The 18068-nt window shown below is 55.2% G+C and overlaps 4 protein-coding genes and 1 long non-coding RNA gene across 8 annotated transcripts in view, besides 1 other annotated feature; 4 read left to right on the top strand and 1 right to left on the bottom strand.

Annotated features, from left to right (window-relative positions):
* The first annotated feature begins 1751 nt into the window (after positions 1-1751).
* HOXA7 (homeobox A7) lies at positions 1752-4711 on the top strand. The gene is made up of 2 exons (NM_006896.4): positions 1752-2260; positions 3205-4711. Exons 1-2 carry the CDS (start codon positions 1882-1884, stop codon positions 3516-3518), a joined length of 693 nt encoding a protein of 230 aa, NP_008827.2. The 5' UTR covers positions 1752-1881; the 3' UTR covers positions 3519-4711.
* Positions 2499-18063, bottom strand: HOXA-AS3 (HOXA cluster antisense RNA 3). 2 transcript variants are annotated; one of them, NR_038832.1, is made up of 3 exons: positions 17888-18063; positions 6746-6852; positions 2499-6133 (listed from the first exon to the last, which is right to left on the bottom strand). It is a non-coding gene; the product is annotated as an HOXA cluster antisense RNA 3 (long non-coding RNA). The 2 variants fall into 2 exon arrangements; NR_038831.1 differs by lacking the exon at positions 17888-18063 and adding an exon at positions 11015-11264.
* Positions 3324-3908: an enhancer, noted in NCBI's record as "H3K4me1 hESC enhancer chr7:27194138-27194722 (GRCh37/hg19 assembly coordinates)". NCBI's record gives its function as "activates a minimal SCP1, AML or CMV promoter by ChIP-STARR-seq in naive H9 embryonic stem cells {active_cell/tissue: H9 hESC(naive)}" and the evidence as "EXISTENCE:reporter gene assay evidence [ECO:0000049][PMID:30033119]".
* HOXA3 (homeobox A3) overlaps positions 5844-18068 on the top strand; it is a 45574-nt gene continuing 33349 nt past the window's right edge. For 2 of the 3 annotated variants that reach the window (NM_153631.3, NM_001384335.1), the window contains exon 1: positions 5844-6139. The gene's annotated coding sequence lies outside the window, so the exon portion shown is untranslated. Of the gene's footprint in view, positions 6140-7476; positions 8120-18068 lie in introns of those variants that run through there. The other variant, NM_001384336.1, reaches the window with a different exon arrangement.
* Positions 10653-13031, top strand: HOXA6 (homeobox A6). The gene is made up of 2 exons (NM_024014.4): positions 10653-11119; positions 12510-13031. The coding sequence occupies exons 1-2, from the start codon at positions 10678-10680 to the stop codon at positions 12767-12769; spliced, it is 702 nt and encodes a 233-aa protein (NP_076919.1). The 5' UTR covers positions 10653-10677; the 3' UTR covers positions 12770-13031.
* Positions 14746-17375, top strand: HOXA5 (homeobox A5). The gene is made up of 2 exons (NM_019102.4): positions 14746-15381; positions 16342-17375. Exons 1-2 carry the CDS (start codon positions 14820-14822, stop codon positions 16590-16592), a joined length of 813 nt encoding a protein of 270 aa, NP_061975.2. The 5' UTR covers positions 14746-14819; the 3' UTR covers positions 16593-17375.

The raw sequence follows: 18068 nt of genomic DNA, 5'->3' as shown, positions 1-18068 counted from the left end.
TTTATTTCCTTCCAGAAGGCGATGCGACTGGGATTATTTAGGTCTTTTCTTTTTGTCTTACTCCCTCTATTCTCCATCGGAGACAAGGTATCATCTGATCCGCCATAAAGGCGTCCCCGGATGTTGTCCCTCACTCCACACCCCTACCCCCAGGCTTCCGTGGCCCGGGAGGAGACAGCCCAGCGCCCACCTGCCCCACCAGCCCCCGCCTTCCTACCCAAGCCCCGGTGGTTCACTGCGCAGGAACTGGGGCTCCGTGGCGTCCCGATCTGAACCCTCCCTCCACCTTTTGTATTCCTGGGGCCCCCTGAGAGGGTGCGGTAAACGGGGACGGCCTGGACCCTCTGAAAGTGATGGGAAGTGCTCAGTACACAAGGAACTAAACTCTACAATTTACAGGAGAATTTCCGGGGCAATTCCATTGTGAGGTCGGGTTTATGGTGTGTAATCGAGCTGAGCAGTAAAAGGTGGCCGGGCTTCCAGCGCAGCCGGGCAGTTTATGAGGCGTTTAGGGGAAGGGTTCTCCCCACCATCCTCCACCGAGCGGTGGGCGGCAGGGGCTTCAGCTGGTGCAACATGGTGCAGGGGTCGGAGGCCTGGAAGGTAGGAATTGGAGGCCTGGATGGGAGGAAGTGAGACCACTGTGCGCTCAGCTCCATGTGAGCTGGTACTTGGATAGGTGAAGCCTCCACAGCTGGGTGGCCTTTAGGGGGTGGTTTCCCCTATTTGTTTTCGGTGTCTTCAAAAGAAAAGGAAGTCCACAGTGGGTTGCAGTCCCTAGACGCCAGAGCCCCCTCTCCAAATCCGCTCTAAAGCATGTATTGTTCCCAGGCACCCCGGCCTACCCCAGAAACCTTCCAGTATTGGGAGTGCCTGGAAGGGTGCAGGCCCGAGATTTTTCCAAGCTGGGGGAAACAGCCCTGGCTCCCCATGCGCCAGAGGGGAACCAGAAGTTGTGGAAAGGACAAAGGAATCTTTAGCAATTTATCGGACTGCTGGAGCCAGCCAGGTGCCCAGGAGCGAAGGCACAGAGCCTGCAGCACTACAGCGTCCGGGAGGAGGGAGGGGAACCCCACGTTAATAAATCTGTTGGCAAATGAGTCTCATTAATAGATAAATATTTCACTGCTTCCTTTAGGGCGGATAAACAGTGTGCCTCCGATTAAGGAAAGGAAGCTGGGAGACGTTGACTTTATTCGAACCACATGGCTCCAGTTTGCGGTGGCAATCTCTCTGCAGCTGCAAGAGATGCTGCGCCTTCCCCGTCTGGATCCGAGTCTAAGTCCGGCCTGTCGCCCACTGGACCTGGGTGAGAGAAGACTTGGGCAGAGTCGATCTGCTCATAGCTGAGTCCTGCCCACAAGGCCACCGCGGGGCAGGCTGTTGCGGGGGACAGAGACCCTTCCAGGGTCTGGGCAGGCGGACAGGAGAGGGATGGGGAGGATCCCAAGCTTGGTCCAGGGCTCACTAGCAGGAGTCGGCGGGGGGGCGGGGTGGGGGGTGCTGCGTGGGGCCGGGCCGCCTGGCGTCCGCAGACCCCAGTGCGGAGGTTGGCCGCCAGCTGGGCGCTCCCGCGGAGCCTCCAGGTCTTTTTCCGCGGGACGCGCCAGGCCCGCCGGGCGCGGGCGGATTCTTTGGCCGCATATTTGAGCCTCTTGCCCTTCCATTCTAGGCGGCTGCGGGCCCTGCGGAGCGAGACCACCTGTGAGGACTGCTGAGATTGGCGGAGGCGGTCATGTGGGCGGTCACGTGCTGCGGCGAGCTCCGTCCAAAAGAAAATGGGGTTTGGTGTAAATCTGGGGGTGTAATGTTATCATATATCACTCTACCTCGTAAAACCGACACTGAAAGCTGCCGGACAACAAATCACAGGTCAAAATTATGAGTTCTTCGTATTATGTGAACGCGCTTTTTAGCAAATATACGGCGGGGGCTTCTCTGTTCCAAAATGCCGAGCCGACTTCTTGCTCCTTTGCTCCCAACTCACAGAGAAGCGGCTACGGGGCGGGCGCCGGCGCCTTCGCCTCGACCGTTCCGGGCTTATACAATGTCAACAGCCCCCTTTATCAGAGCCCCTTTGCGTCCGGCTACGGCCTGGGCGCCGACGCCTACGGCAACCTGCCCTGCGCCTCCTACGACCAAAACATCCCCGGGCTCTGCAGTGACCTCGCCAAAGGCGCCTGCGACAAGACGGACGAGGGCGCGCTGCATGGCGCGGCTGAGGCCAATTTCCGCATCTACCCCTGGATGCGGTCTTCAGGTAGGCGCAGTCGCTAGGCGGGCCAGGCTGGCGGAGCGGGACCGGGAGCGGGGAGCGCAGCGCTGGGGAGCGCGGAGCGCGGGGCGCGGGGCCGGAAGAGCGGAGCCAGGCTGTTGCGAGCCGGTAGCCCCGTGACTCCCGGCGCAGCCTTTCTGGTTTTAATTGGAGCGGAGGCGCCATTGCGTGGAGCCCATAGCATTGTATGTAAATGAGGCTCATAAAACTTTTTATGGCCCAATTAATGGGTTCGATCCTCGTAAATTTATTTAACTCCATTTGTCTTGGAATTTTAACATTAAGTTTGTTCGCTATTCTGTCTCTCTTTCTCCCTCCTCTGTCACCCTCCCTCCCTTTCTTCTTCTCTCTCTCCTCATTTTCCTTGCTGCCTGACATTTCTTTCTCAAAAGCTAGGAGAGCCAAGCCCTCCAGGGCCTCTCACCCGACCCTGTGCCAGGGTCCATTTCAAGATGGGGGCGAGGGAATGAGGACAGAGGGTCGGGGTGCCCTAGGAAGGTCCTGGGGATGAGGGCTCAGGCTGCTGGGAAGAGTCGCCCACTTGCCTAGCAAGGCAGGGGAATGGCCGGGCTCATCTTTGAATGGCAAAAGTGCAGCGTTTCCCACTTGCTCACACTCTATATTTACAGTTTTCCTTTGTCAGAGGAAGCAGGACATTGTGGAAGCTTAGCCGGCTGGAAAGGTCGGTTGTAAAGTTGAGATTCTGTGCCTTTGCTCATTACAGAGCTGCCTGCGCGTCTGGCACTGCAGTTGGGGTCTTTCCCTAACACTCCCCCTCCTCCCCTAGCTCAGTTCGGGGCCTGGGGCAGAGGGGGATGCTCGCTGGGGACTAGGCCAGGAGGAAGGTGCGGGCTCTGGGACAGCAGCCTAACGAGTGCCCTGTCTACTTGTCTGTCCTTGTGTTCATGTGTCTGCATGTCTGTTCTCAGGACCTGACAGGAAGCGGGGCCGCCAGACCTACACGCGCTACCAGACGCTGGAGCTGGAGAAGGAGTTCCACTTCAACCGCTACCTGACGCGGCGCCGCCGCATTGAAATCGCCCACGCGCTCTGCCTCACCGAGCGCCAGATTAAGATCTGGTTCCAGAACCGCCGCATGAAGTGGAAGAAAGAGCATAAGGACGAAGGTCCGACTGCCGCCGCAGCTCCCGAGGGCGCCGTGCCCTCTGCCGCCGCCACTGCTGCCGCGGACAAGGCCGACGAGGAGGACGATGATGAAGAAGAGGAAGACGAGGAGGAATGAGGGGCCGATCCGGGGCCCTCTCTGCACCGGACAGTCGGAAAAGCGTCTTTAAGAGACTCACTGGTTTTACTTACAAAAATGGGAAAAATAAAAGAAAATGTAAAAAACAAAAACAAAAACAAAAAAGCAACCCAGTCCCCAACCTGCACTCTACCCACCCCCATCACCTACTCCAGCTCCCAACTTTTGTGGACTGAGCGGCCGCAGAGACTGGGTCGCCTTGGATTCCCTCTGCCTCCGAGGACCCCAAAAGACACCCCCAACCCCAGGCCAGCCGGCCCTGCTCTGGCGCGTCCAAAATACTACCTAGCACAGGCCTCTGCTCGAGGCACCCCCAAACTACCTATGTATCCAGCCCCAGAGGGCCTCCATTCCCAGGAAGTCCCTATGTATCCCAACACTGGCAGACACCCAGCACCACCCTCCCAGACCCGCAAGAAAGTGAATCTCACTACTACCTACTCCCCTAAAACTACCTATTTTGTGCTGGCTGGCTTGCCTGCTACCTAGTGCCGACTGCTCCCAGGCAAGTCCCCTGCTGCTTACAGCCCGCAGCTTTTGGGGTCCCTGAGGCTGCCCTGAGAATGTGCTGAGGTCCAGGATCAGGGTATTGGCATCTATTTAAATCGAAAAATAATATATTTATTCCAAAAAGCATCCTAAGTGCTTGCACCCTAGAATCAATCCCTCCTTCTCTGGCTTGGCACCCACAGCTCAGGCCCATCAACCCCCACTTCTGGAGGGGAATGTTCCTGAGCTGGCTGCAGATCTGTGGGTTAGCTTCTGCTTAGCAGGACTGTGGAGATGCTTCCAGCTTCGCTGTCCTTTCCTCTGGCTCCTGTATCTTACTGTTCAGCTGTGTTAAATATGTACGCCCTGATGTTTCCTATAATAGCAGATACTGTATATTTGAACAAGATTTTTTTTTATCATTTCTATAGTCTTGGAGTTCATTTGTAAGGCAGTGTCTTGACTTGGAAAGGATGTGTTAATGGGGTGACTTTGTAGCATGGTATGTTGTCTTGAGTTAACTGTAGTGGGTGGGGAGGTCCAATGCCCTCCGCAATGCCCTTCATCTCCTGTGTTGTCCTGTACCCTGCTCAGCTCCATCCTGGGGTTCAGGGAAGGCACACTTCCCAGCCCAGCTGTGTTTTATGTAACCGAAAATAAAGATGCGTGGTGACAAAGAAAAATGTGGACTGCCTTATCCAGAGGGGACTGGGAAAGGGGAGGTGAGTATGGCTGGAGGGCAGGGGGCAGTGGGGAAGCAAAAGTGGGGTGGCTGTCCTTGTGATGGTCCAAGTGTTGGGTACCCATGTATTGGTGTCATGTATCTTTTTAATGTATTTTTATGTGTGTATTTGTATGAGTATGTGCTTATTTTTCTGTGTATGTATTTCTGTGTGTGTGTTTTTACCTAATTCCACAATTGTATATATTTTGGTGTCCATAATTGGGTGCATGTGTTTTTGTGTGTCCATAATTGCATGTCATTCTGTGCCCACAATAGAGTGTATGCCCTTCCCTGTGTGCATAATTGTATATGTGCCTTTATCCGTGTAGAGACGTTTGTCTGGTTTTTGCGTGTGCACTAACATCTTCTAGATCCCTTGAAAACGGAATCTTTGGTAGATACGTTATATTCTATGAATCTACCTAAAAACCTCCATCAATTCCATGAGGAAATTTCAAATCCACACTTTCCTCTAAGGCTGAGCAGTGGGCTTGGAAAGGGGCATTACCCAGAGCTGATTCCGGATTCGCATGCGCCCTGAACCCAGCCCCAGGCTAGGAAATGGGATTTAAGGTCCCCACCCCGCCTGCAGACCAGGCGAGGGGGCCCCAGGGTCCGGCACTGCAGTAGGTGGCGCGGGGAGGGGCTAGGACCGCAGACCCCCGCTAGGCTACGCAGCCTGGGCAGGGGCTGGGGCAGCTGGATGCGGGGAAGGGGCGAGGGGTGAAGGTCCAGGGGTTGTGCGGGCAGCTCAGAGCATCCTGAGTTCCGCCTGCAAGACCTCGTCTCCAGTCTCCTGCCTGGGCTGGGCCCGCTTCTTATGGCTCTTTTAGTAAAACCTGGCCCAAAAGGGTCTGTAAAACCTGAGGCCCCAAGTCGGGGCGGCCTCGGTGGTAAGATGGCGCCGGTGTAAGAGCTGCCTCCTCTCAGTGATGGGGAAAGGGTCATAAATCCGTTGTTGTTTATGAAAATTTACAACTTTGCAATACAACTTTATGAGTTGTTCGGCCCTTCCATTGGCCGCTGTCGGTCATGTGGATGAGAACCGTGAACATGAACTTTTTTATAATTTCCCTTGCGAGAATAGAGCCGCATTCTTTTGCTCCGCTCCGTCCTGCCTGCTTCGGAGCTCTGCCTTCCAGCCGGGCTCGGCTGTGCTTTGTCCGGAGATGGCGAGCGAAGGGAAGCCCCGGCCAGGCCAGGCCTGGCGGCTCCCGCTGGAGATTGGGCGCGCTCCGTTCCCGGCGCCGCGGCAGCAGCTTTGCAACTCGCAACCTGGCTAATTTCCTGCGTCCTCTGGCACCAGGAAAGAGGACAATTCTTCTCTCGGGCTGCCCAAGCGACAGCTGTCAGAGGGGCAGGAGCTTCTGGGAGCCACCGTCTGAAGGTGAGACATGTGGGGAGGAGATAGGAGCAAAGGTGGTGAGGCGACAGCCGGCGGCGGTAGCGGTGGGAGAGGGCACCCAGGGAGGCTTTAAGAGGGGCATACTCCCCCTTACCCATACTCACCCATTCACACTTGCCCCCATCACACACTACAGCCCACACACGTCACACACACAGGCACACACGCGCGCACGCACACACACACACACACCACTCCCTTTCTCTCCCCTCCCTGGCTCGCCTTGGCAGTAAGTGCCCGCCTTCCTTCGGCCCTCCGTGGCACAGCGCCAAGGCACAGGGCAGCATCCCTTGGGTCGTCTCTCTCCCCTTCCCTAGCGACCCCGTGAAGCCCAAAAGGAAGTGGCCCGGCACACTGTGTTCCCCGCCAGCCCTTTGGGTTTGGATTTTTGTGTTTTCATTCATGGCCCTATTTGGTTTTGTTGGATTCCCCAACAAGAGGAGACCATCCTTGACCTGGGAAGGTGGGAAGAGGTGAGGGCAAAGTGCATTAATCCACAGGCATTTTATTAGCATCAGCACAGCACTTTCTACTCCGTGGGAATTGGTTTCAGAGAGAAAGGTAGAAGGGGGAAACAGAAAAACTTACTAATTCAGCCAGAGTTCTCCGCTCGTTGCCGGCTTCCCTTCGCCCGGTTTTTCGATGAGAGAGGTGTCTGAAGCGCTGGGAGGGGGAATAGGTGCGTGGGTGGAATTCTGTGTTGGAGGAGAGGATGGGATTAATTGGGTGTTACTTGGTGGGAAGTTTCGGTGCAGAGGACATAATGCTGTTAGCGCGCGTGGCAGGGTCCCGCAGCTAAGGTTGAAGGAAGGACGCAAACCGAGTCTGGGCGATAGGGGGACCCCCCAATCCACCTTGGCGCAACGGACTGGCGACCGCACTCCCCACCTTCCGCGAGCGGGGAGAGGATGGTGGAGCTGCCCGGGAGGAAGCGCAGAGCGTGCTGCTGGCGGTGGCTTTGCGTAGCGCGGTGGCTCGAACTGTAGCTCGGCCTAAGTGCACATCAGACCAGATTTGCCCCGAGAACTCCTCGGACAGCGACAAGAAAAGAGTCCGAGGTTCTTTTTGTTTGTTTTTTGTTTGGGTTGTTGTTTCCCCAACTTGAGACAATATCTTGGTATGGATTCGATAAATAGGAAGGGGCTGTGGATGTTTAGGACGTTAGCCCGTGCTCTGCGTGCGCTCGGGGCGGATAAAGCGGCGCATTTGCATCCTAGGTCCGCCGCCTTCCTGACTGCGGCTGCCGCGGGCCGATTATTTATTGCGACCGTGCTGGCGCTCGCTGCTGCCACGCCGTGGCCGTCGCCGGGACCGGCGCCAGCTGCAGCCCGCCTCTTGCAGCCTGGCGCGACTGCTGTACTGGCCCCTCAGAGATTTCCCAGCAAGCAGGGTAGAGGGGGACGCAAGGGGACCTGGGGGGCGATCACCCAGAGCCTATATGGCCGGGAAATCTCCCCGCCTCGGCTACCCCTGACCGGAGCTGGACGCCGTTATAGACTCGGGTCCTCCCCCACCCCCACTCCAGCACCATGGAGACTGGTTGCACAGGCCGCCTGGCACGTCATGGCTGCTTCTGTCCAAACTGCGCGTCCCAAGGCGTTCTGGGGGCGCACGCTGGTTCAGGGAACACTCTGGCTTTGGGATTCTGCAATCGGAGAGACTACCTGTAGTCCTGAGGCCTGTAGGCCTGGCTGCTCTGAGGAGGATTGGCTATGGCAAAGAAGGACGGCTTTGGCTCCAGGAGAGGGCTGTGAAGGGCAGAGGCCGCACCTGTGTGCTTTGGGCTCTGGTCTGGGCTAGCGAGCTGGCTGGACCGAGGTGGCCTTCAAGGTCCCACACCTACATACTCCCAGACCACCCTCCAGGCTGGCAGAGGTGGAGCTGTTCAATGGGCAGCCCAGGGCAAGGGCAGACAGTGGGGCCCAGCTCGCCGTCCTGCCCCCCTTGGAGAGAAACTGAAAGGTAAGTCGCTTTCTGCGTGGCTTTGGCAGGGAGGAGAGAGAGCCCTGGGGTGGCCATTCTCACCATCGCAGGAGAGGCCCTTTGGAGGGTCTGGGGTGCCTATTCTTGCCGGAATAGCCCTCTCTCTCTAGAGAGAGAGAGAGAGAGAGAATATCTGGTTGGAGAAATGATATGCACTAGCCTTGGCTAACATGTAAAGATTCCAATGTAATATATGTTTTTCCATCTTAGTGCCTATAGAAGCTAGAAATATAATGTTTTCTGGTTCTTAGCTGAGAAATCAAATTCTCTTGTTAGCTGGAACAATAATTAGATCGAGAATCCTGGTCAAGGCATGACAAATAATAATAATAGTAAATTGACACTGACCCACCACTATGTGGGACATGGCGGAATGAAAAGGAAATCATAAATGTAAACATTGATTGTCATCTCCAAACGGTTGTTTTCATTTTAAATAATAACTTGCTTAAAATCACTGTTGTCTGATAATTTTGTTTAAGAAAAAAATAACACAAACATGTTTTTCTTCAAACAGCTATTTTTAAAAGTCCCTTTTAATTTTTTGACTCGAGTTTTCATTTTCACCTATTGAATTCTTTCCCTGAAGTAATGTGTGGGAAATGCCCAATTCTATCCTCTCATTCGAGGCCCTGCTTTATATGCAAAGTAAACCCTTTCCAGGACGGATCGACTGGGGAACAGGCATCCGGCTTCCAGGGGTAGCCCCCGTTGCCGGGCTAGCAGCCGCCTTCCAGGAGTGCCTCTTGGGCTCTTCGGAGGTCGACCTTAGGCCAGTCCTTTCCCAATTTTTTCCCTTTGTGGGAGGAGAGTTCAGGAAAAAAATTGAAAAGCAAGGAAGAGACTAAGTCATTACTAGATTCCTACTGGAACACTGCCAATTGCCACCTCCCCACTAAGTCCTGAACCGGGTGAGCCTGCATTGGCCAGGGTTTTACAGATCTTGTAAACAGTCTCCAGAAATCCATCCAAATCACGTAAATAGTCTTTCTTCAACCTCCACAGAATTGAGGATTTTAAAGCTAATTCAAGGGGTTTTACAAGCCCAACAAACACAGTTGTAAAAATGCCATTGGGCTGCTATCACATTTTACAAAACGAGATTGATCCATGTGTTGTAAAAGTCAACTATCTCGAAGGCACACCTCTCAGGCAAGAGTGAGCAGCTCAGGACAGGCTTTTAATGTCCTGTCTGGGGACCGCCAGGCCTGGGACAGCAGTGAAAGCAATTCAGGATTTCTGGAGCCGGTGAGACTATTCCCGGTTCCGGAGCGACTGAGGGGCGGCAGCCCTCCCTGCGGTCCCAGGAAGGGCAGTAAAGAGGGCGGCCCCAGGACAGTGCCGGTTGTCGGGCGCCCCGGAAACCGAGCCCATCAATTATCCCGCGGCCTTGGGCCCTGCAGAGCTGCCCTCTGTGCCCAGCTTGGCCAGGGCCTCTGCGTCTTCTGTGCCTCTGGAATGTGGACAGAGAGATTCCACATCTGGATTTTTATCTGCCTCAGCTCTGAGCGGTTCTCGCAGTGGATGCTGAGTCCCCAGGCGCTAGGCAGGGGAGCAGGTCCCTCGGCTGTCTTAGGAGCCCAGTCTCACGGCCACTGCTCTGTCGGTCCTTTCTTGTTGAAACCAGTGGTTTCTGGCCTTTCAATTCCCTGGGTTCAAAGGTGGGATGGGGACGCCCAGCTGGAAGGAGTGCTTTGACACCAGGCAGGCGCGGGCCATTGAGCCCCTTGGGACTCAAACAGGATGTGTATGTGGGAGGAGGGAATGGGTGGGAAGAACCTACGTTTGGCTGAGTCCTGGTCAGCTCGAGGTGATCCTTCAGCTCTGGGCTGCAAGGCCCAGGCCCCTGGTGCTAGCGGAGAAGGAGAGAATGAGGGAGTTCACCGATTCCTAAGGCGCACGAGTGAAGAGCATAGAGTGAAGGCCTGGTTTCTCATGGCCCTTGCTCCAGCTCAAGAACTCGCACCCACGAATAGGGGAGCGCTAGGGGAGGGGCAACTCTGGGCCGTGCCTGGAGTGCAGGCCGGCAGGGAGCAAAGCCACCTTTGTCACTGCCCCTCCTGGAGCAGGACCTTCAGGTTTCCTGTTTGGAGGAGGAGGGGCGGGGAACCCGCAAAATTCAATAAAGCAAAAAGGGGAGGAGGAAGGAGGGGACCTGGCGGGGCCTTTGAGGCGGCCCAAGCATTAGTGTCCCTACTCTGGCCTGATCTGCTCGCCACTGAAAGGGCCGTGCCCGCCGCTGGCGTTCGGGAAGAGAGCCGGGCCGGCTAGCTGTGCGCGCCCATTAATCTGCCGGGCGGGCGGCGGGCGGGCGGGCTGGGGGCTGTTTGTAACTTTGCTGCCTCGGTCGCCGCGGTCCCCGGGGAGCGGGCTCCGGCGTTCGCTCCCATTGGCCGCCGCCGCGTCAGCTGGTGCGATTTGCTGCTGTCGCTTTTGGCGTTCGGCCATCCAGAAACAAACCAGTTCGATGACTACTAATAGTTATAGCCAGATGTACTAATACACAACAAATCACAGTCCTGCAGAGGGGCGCGCAAATGAGTTCCTATTTTGTGAATCCCACTTTCCCCGGGAGCCTTCCCAGCGGCCAGGACTCCTTCTTGGGCCAGCTGCCCCTCTACCAGGCTGGCTATGACGCGCTGAGGCCCTTCCCGGCCTCGTACGGGGCGTCGAGTCTCCCGGACAAGACGTACACCTCACCTTGTTTCTACCAACAGTCCAACTCGGTCCTGGCCTGCAACCGGGCGTCCTACGAGTACGGGGCCTCGTGTTTCTATTCTGATAAGGACCTCAGTGGCGCCTCGCCCTCGGGCAGTGGCAAGCAGAGGGGCCCCGGGGACTACCTGCACTTTTCTCCCGAGCAGCAGTACAAACCCGACAGCAGCAGCGGGCAGGGCAAAGCACTCCATGACGAAGGCGCCGACCGGAAGTACACGAGCCCGGTTTACCCTTGGATGCAGCGGATGAACTCCTGCGCGGGTAAGACATATCCCAAGACAGTGGAGGGAGAGGGGAAAGGAGGCAGGAAAAGAAAGAAAGAAGGAGGAAACAGAGTAGAAAGAGGAATAGAGAGAAAGAAAGGATGAAAGAACCAGCAAAGTTTCTTTGGCTTCTTAAAAGAGAAGAAAAAATCAGTTCCCAATGGGGCTATCAGGCCATGGCAGAGGAAGGGCAAGGCCCCAGTGTCCATGTAAGCTGACACCTTAGGGGAGGATGGGGGCACTGGCACGTATATGAGACCTGTGACAGGGACAGCCTGAAGAGAGAGAGAGGCTGGTGGGGAGGGACAGCCTGTCCATGCACCCTGAGTACCCTGCTCAGCTTCCCAAGCCAGAGGGCCTTTTGCACTGCGTCACTGATAAATACCCTTTGCTTCCCAACCCCCTCTCCTTTCTGCCCTTCAGAAACCCGTACAGAGAGGTGGCCATTTGGCCTCTTCCAGTGTCTCCCCAAAGCCTTGGAGGGCCACAGCCCCAGACTCAGGATTTTTTTCTCTCTCCTCCCTCATCTCCCCCGGCTTCTACTCAACTGCCCACTCTTAGCCAACTTCTGCCCTCTTCTGAGCCCATGCCTGAGCTTCATACACCTGTCTTGGAGGGACCCCCCACCACCCTTGGGGAACTTTGGCACCAGATCAGACAGCCCAACACAATCCTACATTGCCAGAAATCCTAGACTACCTATAGCTCCATCTCTTAGCCTCTGGTTTCCAAGGACTCCACAGGGAATCCCAAAGACTCCTAGGAATTCCCTAGGACAGAGCCTAATGCGGATTGTTAAAATTATAATGTTTTCCATTAACATCCACTTTATCCTTGGGGGAGTTCTGCATTTCTCAGAAGGGTCATATAATTTGGGAGAATGTGTAAAGATTCAAGAGGGCTGACCATTTTTAACTCTTCAAAAAATGTGTTGAGTTCCGACATGGCTGGTCACAGTAGCATCCTCAGAGAGACCACTATGAATTCAGAGTGTGTACACTACTTACATGGTTCCACACCACCCACCCCAGACACACACACACACACACACACAAACACACACACACACCCTGCATCCCCACAAAAACACGACCTGGGCATCCCAAATTAAGAATGCTCATTCTGTTATTTTGCTTGTAATGGTTTTCCTATGAGGCAGATTTTTCAAAAACGATAATGTCCACCCCAAGTCGTTATAGGTGGAAAACATCTCGCTTGGTATGAAATAATCTCCCATTCAGTATGCTTTGGGCCCCAGACATAGTGGGAGAGGCTGGAGTGGAGGCGGGGTGGTTTCTAGTCTGGGTGCCTCTTGTGGGAGGCACTGGGCTGACTGGGTCAACCCTCCAGGCCCTGGCTTACCGGCGCCCGGCCGTTTCTGCTCGTAGGTGCTGTGTATGGGAGCCATGGGCGCCGAGGCCGCCAGACCTACACGCGCTACCAGACACTGGAGCTGGAGAAGGAGTTCCACTTCAACCGCTACCTGACACGGCGCCGCCGCATCGAGATCGCCAACGCGCTCTGCCTCACCGAGCGCCAGATCAAGATCTGGTTCCAGAACCGCCGCATGAAGTGGAAAAAGGAAAACAAGCTCATCAATTCCACGCAGCCCAGCGGGGAGGACTCAGAGGCAAAGGCGGGCGAGTAGATGCCTGGGCAGGGACCAGGCCAGCGCTGCAACCTCCTTCGGCTTTGCCCCCTTGCCCTCGCCTGTTCCCCAACTTTTCTCCCCGCCTGCTCCCATCTGGGGGCTTCCGCAGCTTCAGGGGAGCCCGGAGCTTTGCAAGCGTCTGTGCATTTATTTCTTACAAAACAAAACAAAACAAAACAAAACAAAACAAAACAAAACAAAACAAAACCTCACACACAGCCAATACCAGCGGTGGAGCGGGGCGCACTGCACACACCCAGTCCCGCTCCACAAGGATGCCCAAACCGGCTCCGGAGTTCTGGGGTGCGCCCTGAATGCGTCTGGGGCTCCTGTGCTAGTGTCTCTGAGCTCCCCGACCTCGGGACGCGGGGCTGCTGGGGAGGAAAGAGCCCTGGGCCGAGCCCCGTTTCGTGTCTGGGCGTCTCTGCCTAAGTCCCTCGCCAGTAAGTCCCGAAGGGCATCATCAAATCATCTCTGGCCAGTGGAAAGAGGGGGTCTAAGAGCTGGAGCCCGGCCTTGTCGCGGCCTCCCAAGCCGCCTCCCAGAACAGGAAGGAAGCTCGAGGAACAAAGGGGGCCCCAACAGAGCCCAGTCTCTCGGTCCCGCGTGTGCAACCGTCAGTGGAAGAGAAGCAGCCTCAGCCGAGGCGAGTTAACCTGGGCGCGGGTGGAACATTACAGCCCGGGGTAGGCTCCCGGCTCCGGATTCCCGCTCCCAGCCTCCGATAGCGCCCGCGTCGCCGCCACAGCAGCGTTCAGGACCCAACGAGGGGCCCAGGGCCATGGGAGCCGCCAGAGTCCTGGCTTCCAGACGTGCCAGGGGCGCCTGCAACGCCGGGCCTCCAGCGGGGAGACTCCACTTGCCTCTCAGCTATATTTGTGATTTACTTGAGTCTTTCGGAGCCGTGGAAAATAACTACAGAGATACTAGGCACTGCCAAGGAATGCTTCCATTATCGCCCTCATTTTACTCCTGGAGGTCTAAGCAAGACCCCAGTAACCCGCCCCACGGATCCCCAGACCCCAGGCAGCCTCTGTGGCTGCAGGGAGCCTGGGCCCACTCGCTGGGTTCAAGGAGAACCCTCCGACTTGGGGCCCGGCTGGCTCGAGGAACCGGACCCTGTGATGAAGATTTTCCAGGCTGGATACGTAAGCAAATCAAATCGCAAACTAATGACACGAAAACCATATTCACACGAAAGAAAAATCGACTACGGTTATAAAAGTGTATGGAATTTGACCTCGCCTTGGAGAAACACTACACAAAAGCTATCTTTAATAGACGCCTGTCATTTAAGAGCGGCAGGGACACTGTCCCTCATGCGCTCGCAAAAACAGAGCCGTAATTGTAGCTGCTGCTGCTGCGGGCAGGATTTATTTCTCCAATTGGCTAAATGGCTTTCCCCCTTCCCCGAAGGTGATATCTGTATTTTCAAAATTCAGAGCTGCTGGCAGGACGGTCAGTACCGACCCCAACCTCGACACAAAAATAAGAGGGGCTGCAAAACGGGGGAAATAAAGTTGTTGTAAATAAAATGCAAGTCACCACCTCCCCCCAATCCTCTGCATCCTCGCCGGGCGCGCGATCGGCAGCTGACGGCCTAACAATTGGTACATCCTAATGGAACTGCGAGGGAAATGCAATAATTTTGCCATAATGGGCTGTAACCTCAATTCGACCCCGGCCCTTGCAGCCCCCGGTCGGAAGCTGGGCGATGAGCCCTGCCTCCAGCGGGTGGCGCTCGAGTCCGGCTGAACGGCGGCAACTGGCGGCGGGCACGCGCCCGGGGCGCGCGCGCCACCCCCCTCGCCTCCACCCAACTCCCCTATTAGTGCACGAGTTTACCTCTAGAGGTCATCAGGCAGGATTTACGACTGGACAACAAAAGCACGTGATTCGAAGTCGTACCCCATATTTGGGTGCCTACGTAGGAGGGAACCAAGTACATGTCCCAGTCATTTCCATAATTCATCATAAATTGTGCAAGGGTGCTATAGACGCACAAACGACCGCGAGCCACAAATCAAGCACACATATCAAAAAACAAATGAGCTCTTATTTTGTAAACTCATTTTGCGGTCGCTATCCAAATGGCCCGGACTACCAGTTGCATAATTATGGAGATCATAGTTCCGTGAGCGAGCAATTCAGGGACTCGGCGAGCATGCACTCCGGCAGGTACGGCTACGGCTACAATGGCATGGATCTCAGCGTCGGCCGCTCGGGCTCCGGCCACTTTGGCTCCGGAGAGCGCGCCCGCAGCTACGCTGCCAGCGCCAGCGCGGCGCCCGCCGAGCCCAGGTACAGCCAGCCGGCCACGTCCACGCACTCTCCTCAGCCCGATCCGCTGCCCTGCTCCGCCGTGGCCCCCTCGCCCGGCAGCGACAGCCACCACGGCGGGAAAAACTCCCTAAGCAACTCCAGCGGCGCCTCGGCCGACGCCGGCAGCACCCACATCAGCAGCAGAGAGGGGGTTGGCACGGCGTCCGGAGCCGAGGAGGACGCCCCTGCCAGCAGCGAGCAGGCGAGTGCGCAGAGCGAGCCGAGCCCGGCGCCGCCCGCCCAACCCCAGATCTACCCCTGGATGCGCAAGCTGCACATAAGTCATGGTAAAGCCAGCCTTTTTCTAAATCCACGCGACCGCGGGGACGCGGCTCTCGGTCCCCCCTCTCTTCTCTGCCGCCCTCTCCCAGTCTCTCTTGGTCTCATTTCTCCCAGCCCTGCGGAGCTCTCCTTGCCGTTCTCCCTCCCCTGCCTTCCTCCTTCCTCCTCTTCTTTGCGAGCACCCTGCGCTCACAAATAGTGGGGGAAATGGGCGTTCTCTGGGACAGTTTAGACGTTGGAAGGGGGAGGAAGCAAAAAACCCCTCTGGAACCCCACGCCTTGGGACGCGCTCCCGGGTCAGGCCAGCCGAGCAAGGCGCAGAGAGGTAGAGGATGGCTGTAGCAGCCGTGAATCGGGCTTGTCACGGCGGATAATTTATGAGGAGGGCTACGCTGGGGAAACAGCGTTACTAATTACAGCCCCCGAAAAGGGGCTTGGGGGAAAGAATCGAGGCGAGAGCCTGCAGGATTCTGAATTTTGGGGGCAGGAGGGAGAGAGAAGGAAAGGGAAGAAAAAGAAAACAGGCTCCCCAACCCTGCAGGCTGGAAACGGGAGGCGGCTCTCGGGGCTGGAACTTTGAGGGAGGGTGACCCGAAGGCCACTTGGGCGCTCAGGAAAGGGCCTTGCTTCCTGGGTTTCTGTGCGGTGGGCAGCCTGGGAGGGCTGTGCCTCCCGATCGGGGCGCCCGGGGCAGGGCGGAGGGGGCAGGAGAGGGGCCAGGGAAAGCCGGAGTCCGCCGGGACACGGCCCCAGCCTCAGATGGGCAGATTGTTCCCAGGGTCCAAATCGTATTGTTTTCTTTCTAGAAAGGAAGAGAGAAGGAAATTCGGGAGGGGTGTGCGGGCTGGTAGGCAGAACTTGTTGAGCTTTTCGCCTGGGTTCCCTGCTCATGACCCAAGCTTGTCCCCCTGGCGGACTTTGGAAGACAGGAGTTGGTGGCTAAACCGCTGACTTTTCTATTGCAGACAACATAGGCGGCCCGGAAGGCAAAAGGGCCCGGACGGCCTACACGCGCTACCAGACCCTGGAGCTGGAGAAGGAGTTCCACTTCAACCGTTACCTGACCCGCAGAAGGAGGATTGAAATAGCACATGCTCTTTGCCTCTCCGAGAGACAAATTAAAATCTGGTTCCAAAACCGGAGAATGAAGTGGAAAAAAGATAATAAGCTGAAAAGCATGAGCATGGCCGCGGCAGGAGGGGCCTTCCGTCCCTGAGTATCTGAGCGTTTAAAGTACTGAGCAGTATTAGCGGATCCCGCGTAGTGTCAGTACTAAGGTGACTTTCTGAAACTCCCTTGTGTTCCTTCTGTGAAGAAGCCCTGTTCTCGTTGCCCTAATTCATCTTTTAATCATGAGCCTGTTTATTGCCATTATAGCGCCTGTATAAGTAGATCTGCTTTCTGTTCATCTCTTTGTCCTGAATGGCTTTGTCTTGAAAAAAAATAGATGTTTTAACTTATTTATATGAAGCAAGCTGTGTTACTTGAAGTAACTATAACAAAAAAAGAAAAGAGAAAAAAAAACACACAAAAAGTCCCCCTTCAATCTCGTTTAGTGCCAATGTTGTGTGTTGCACTCAAGTTGTTTAACTGTGCATGTGCGTGGAAGTGTTCCTGTCTCAATAGCTCCAAGCTGTTAAAGATATTTTTATTCAAACTACCTATATTCCTTGTGTAATTAATGCTGTTGTAGAGGTGACTTGATGAGACACAACTTGTTCGACGTGTAGTGACTAGTGACTCTGTGATGAAAACTGTGACTCCAAGCGGTGTGTCCCTGCGTGCCTTTATAGGACCCTTTGCACGAACTCTGGAAGTGGCTCTTATAAGCGCAGCTTCAGTGATGTATGTTTTTGTGAACAAAGTTACAAATATTGTCCAAGTCTGGCTGTTTTAAGCAAACTGTGATCAGCTTTTTTTTTTTTTTTTTTTTTTTTGTATTTGTTTTTAAGGAAAAAATACTGACTGGAACAAAAAATAAACTTTCTATTGTAAGTTCTCTTGGTCTGGTTTGTGCCAAATAGTGAGCGGCTCTGTCTGCTTTTCTGTCTGTCTGTGCAGTCTTGGAAGCTGTTGGGTCTGAGGCTACCTGAGCAGATGACCTGTGCAGGGAGACCTCATACCAACACTGTCCCATCGCTTCCCTACCTCTGACCCATTGCAAAGTTCAGGGCAGAAGGTGGAAAAAGCTGTAGGCTGTTCCAAAGCCCCAGAACACCCTGTCCATCTCTGAGGAAACCAAGTTAACTTGCTGGGTACAAAAAAGAGAGAAAGAGCAAGAAAAAAGGAGAAAAAACCCAGGGCTTTGTTAGCCGCCCTCAGGCCACACAGATCCTGCCTCTTTCCTAAGGCTGTCCTAGGCCTCCACTTGCTGAAGACGCTGCTATGTCTGTCTGTGGACCCCAAACCCTCTGCCCTTAACCCATCCCAGCACCCCTTCCCCACTCTTCACCCGGGACCCAGTTGGCTTCTTTTGCTACAATTAATTTGCTACAAATTGAAGGTACTTACCCCATCCTAGCTCGATTGGGAAACTCCTCAGAGCAGCTAAAGCGCAACTAGAGATTTGCACATTTACCGACTGCTTACACTGATGCCGTCTTTCCTTTTAAAAGTTATAAAACAGTAAACTTTATAAGCCCCAGTTCCGGCTATATGACATTTGGGTGCCAAATGAATAGGGTTTTGTCTA

This window comes from Homo sapiens, chromosome 7 (assembly GCF_000001405.40).
Source record: "Homo sapiens chromosome 7, GRCh38.p14 Primary Assembly".
Lineage (NCBI taxonomy): Eukaryota > Metazoa > Chordata > Mammalia > Primates > Hominidae > Homo > Homo sapiens.
Note: the sequence above shows the minus strand (reverse complement) of the source record. Positions and strands in the feature narration are given on the sequence as shown.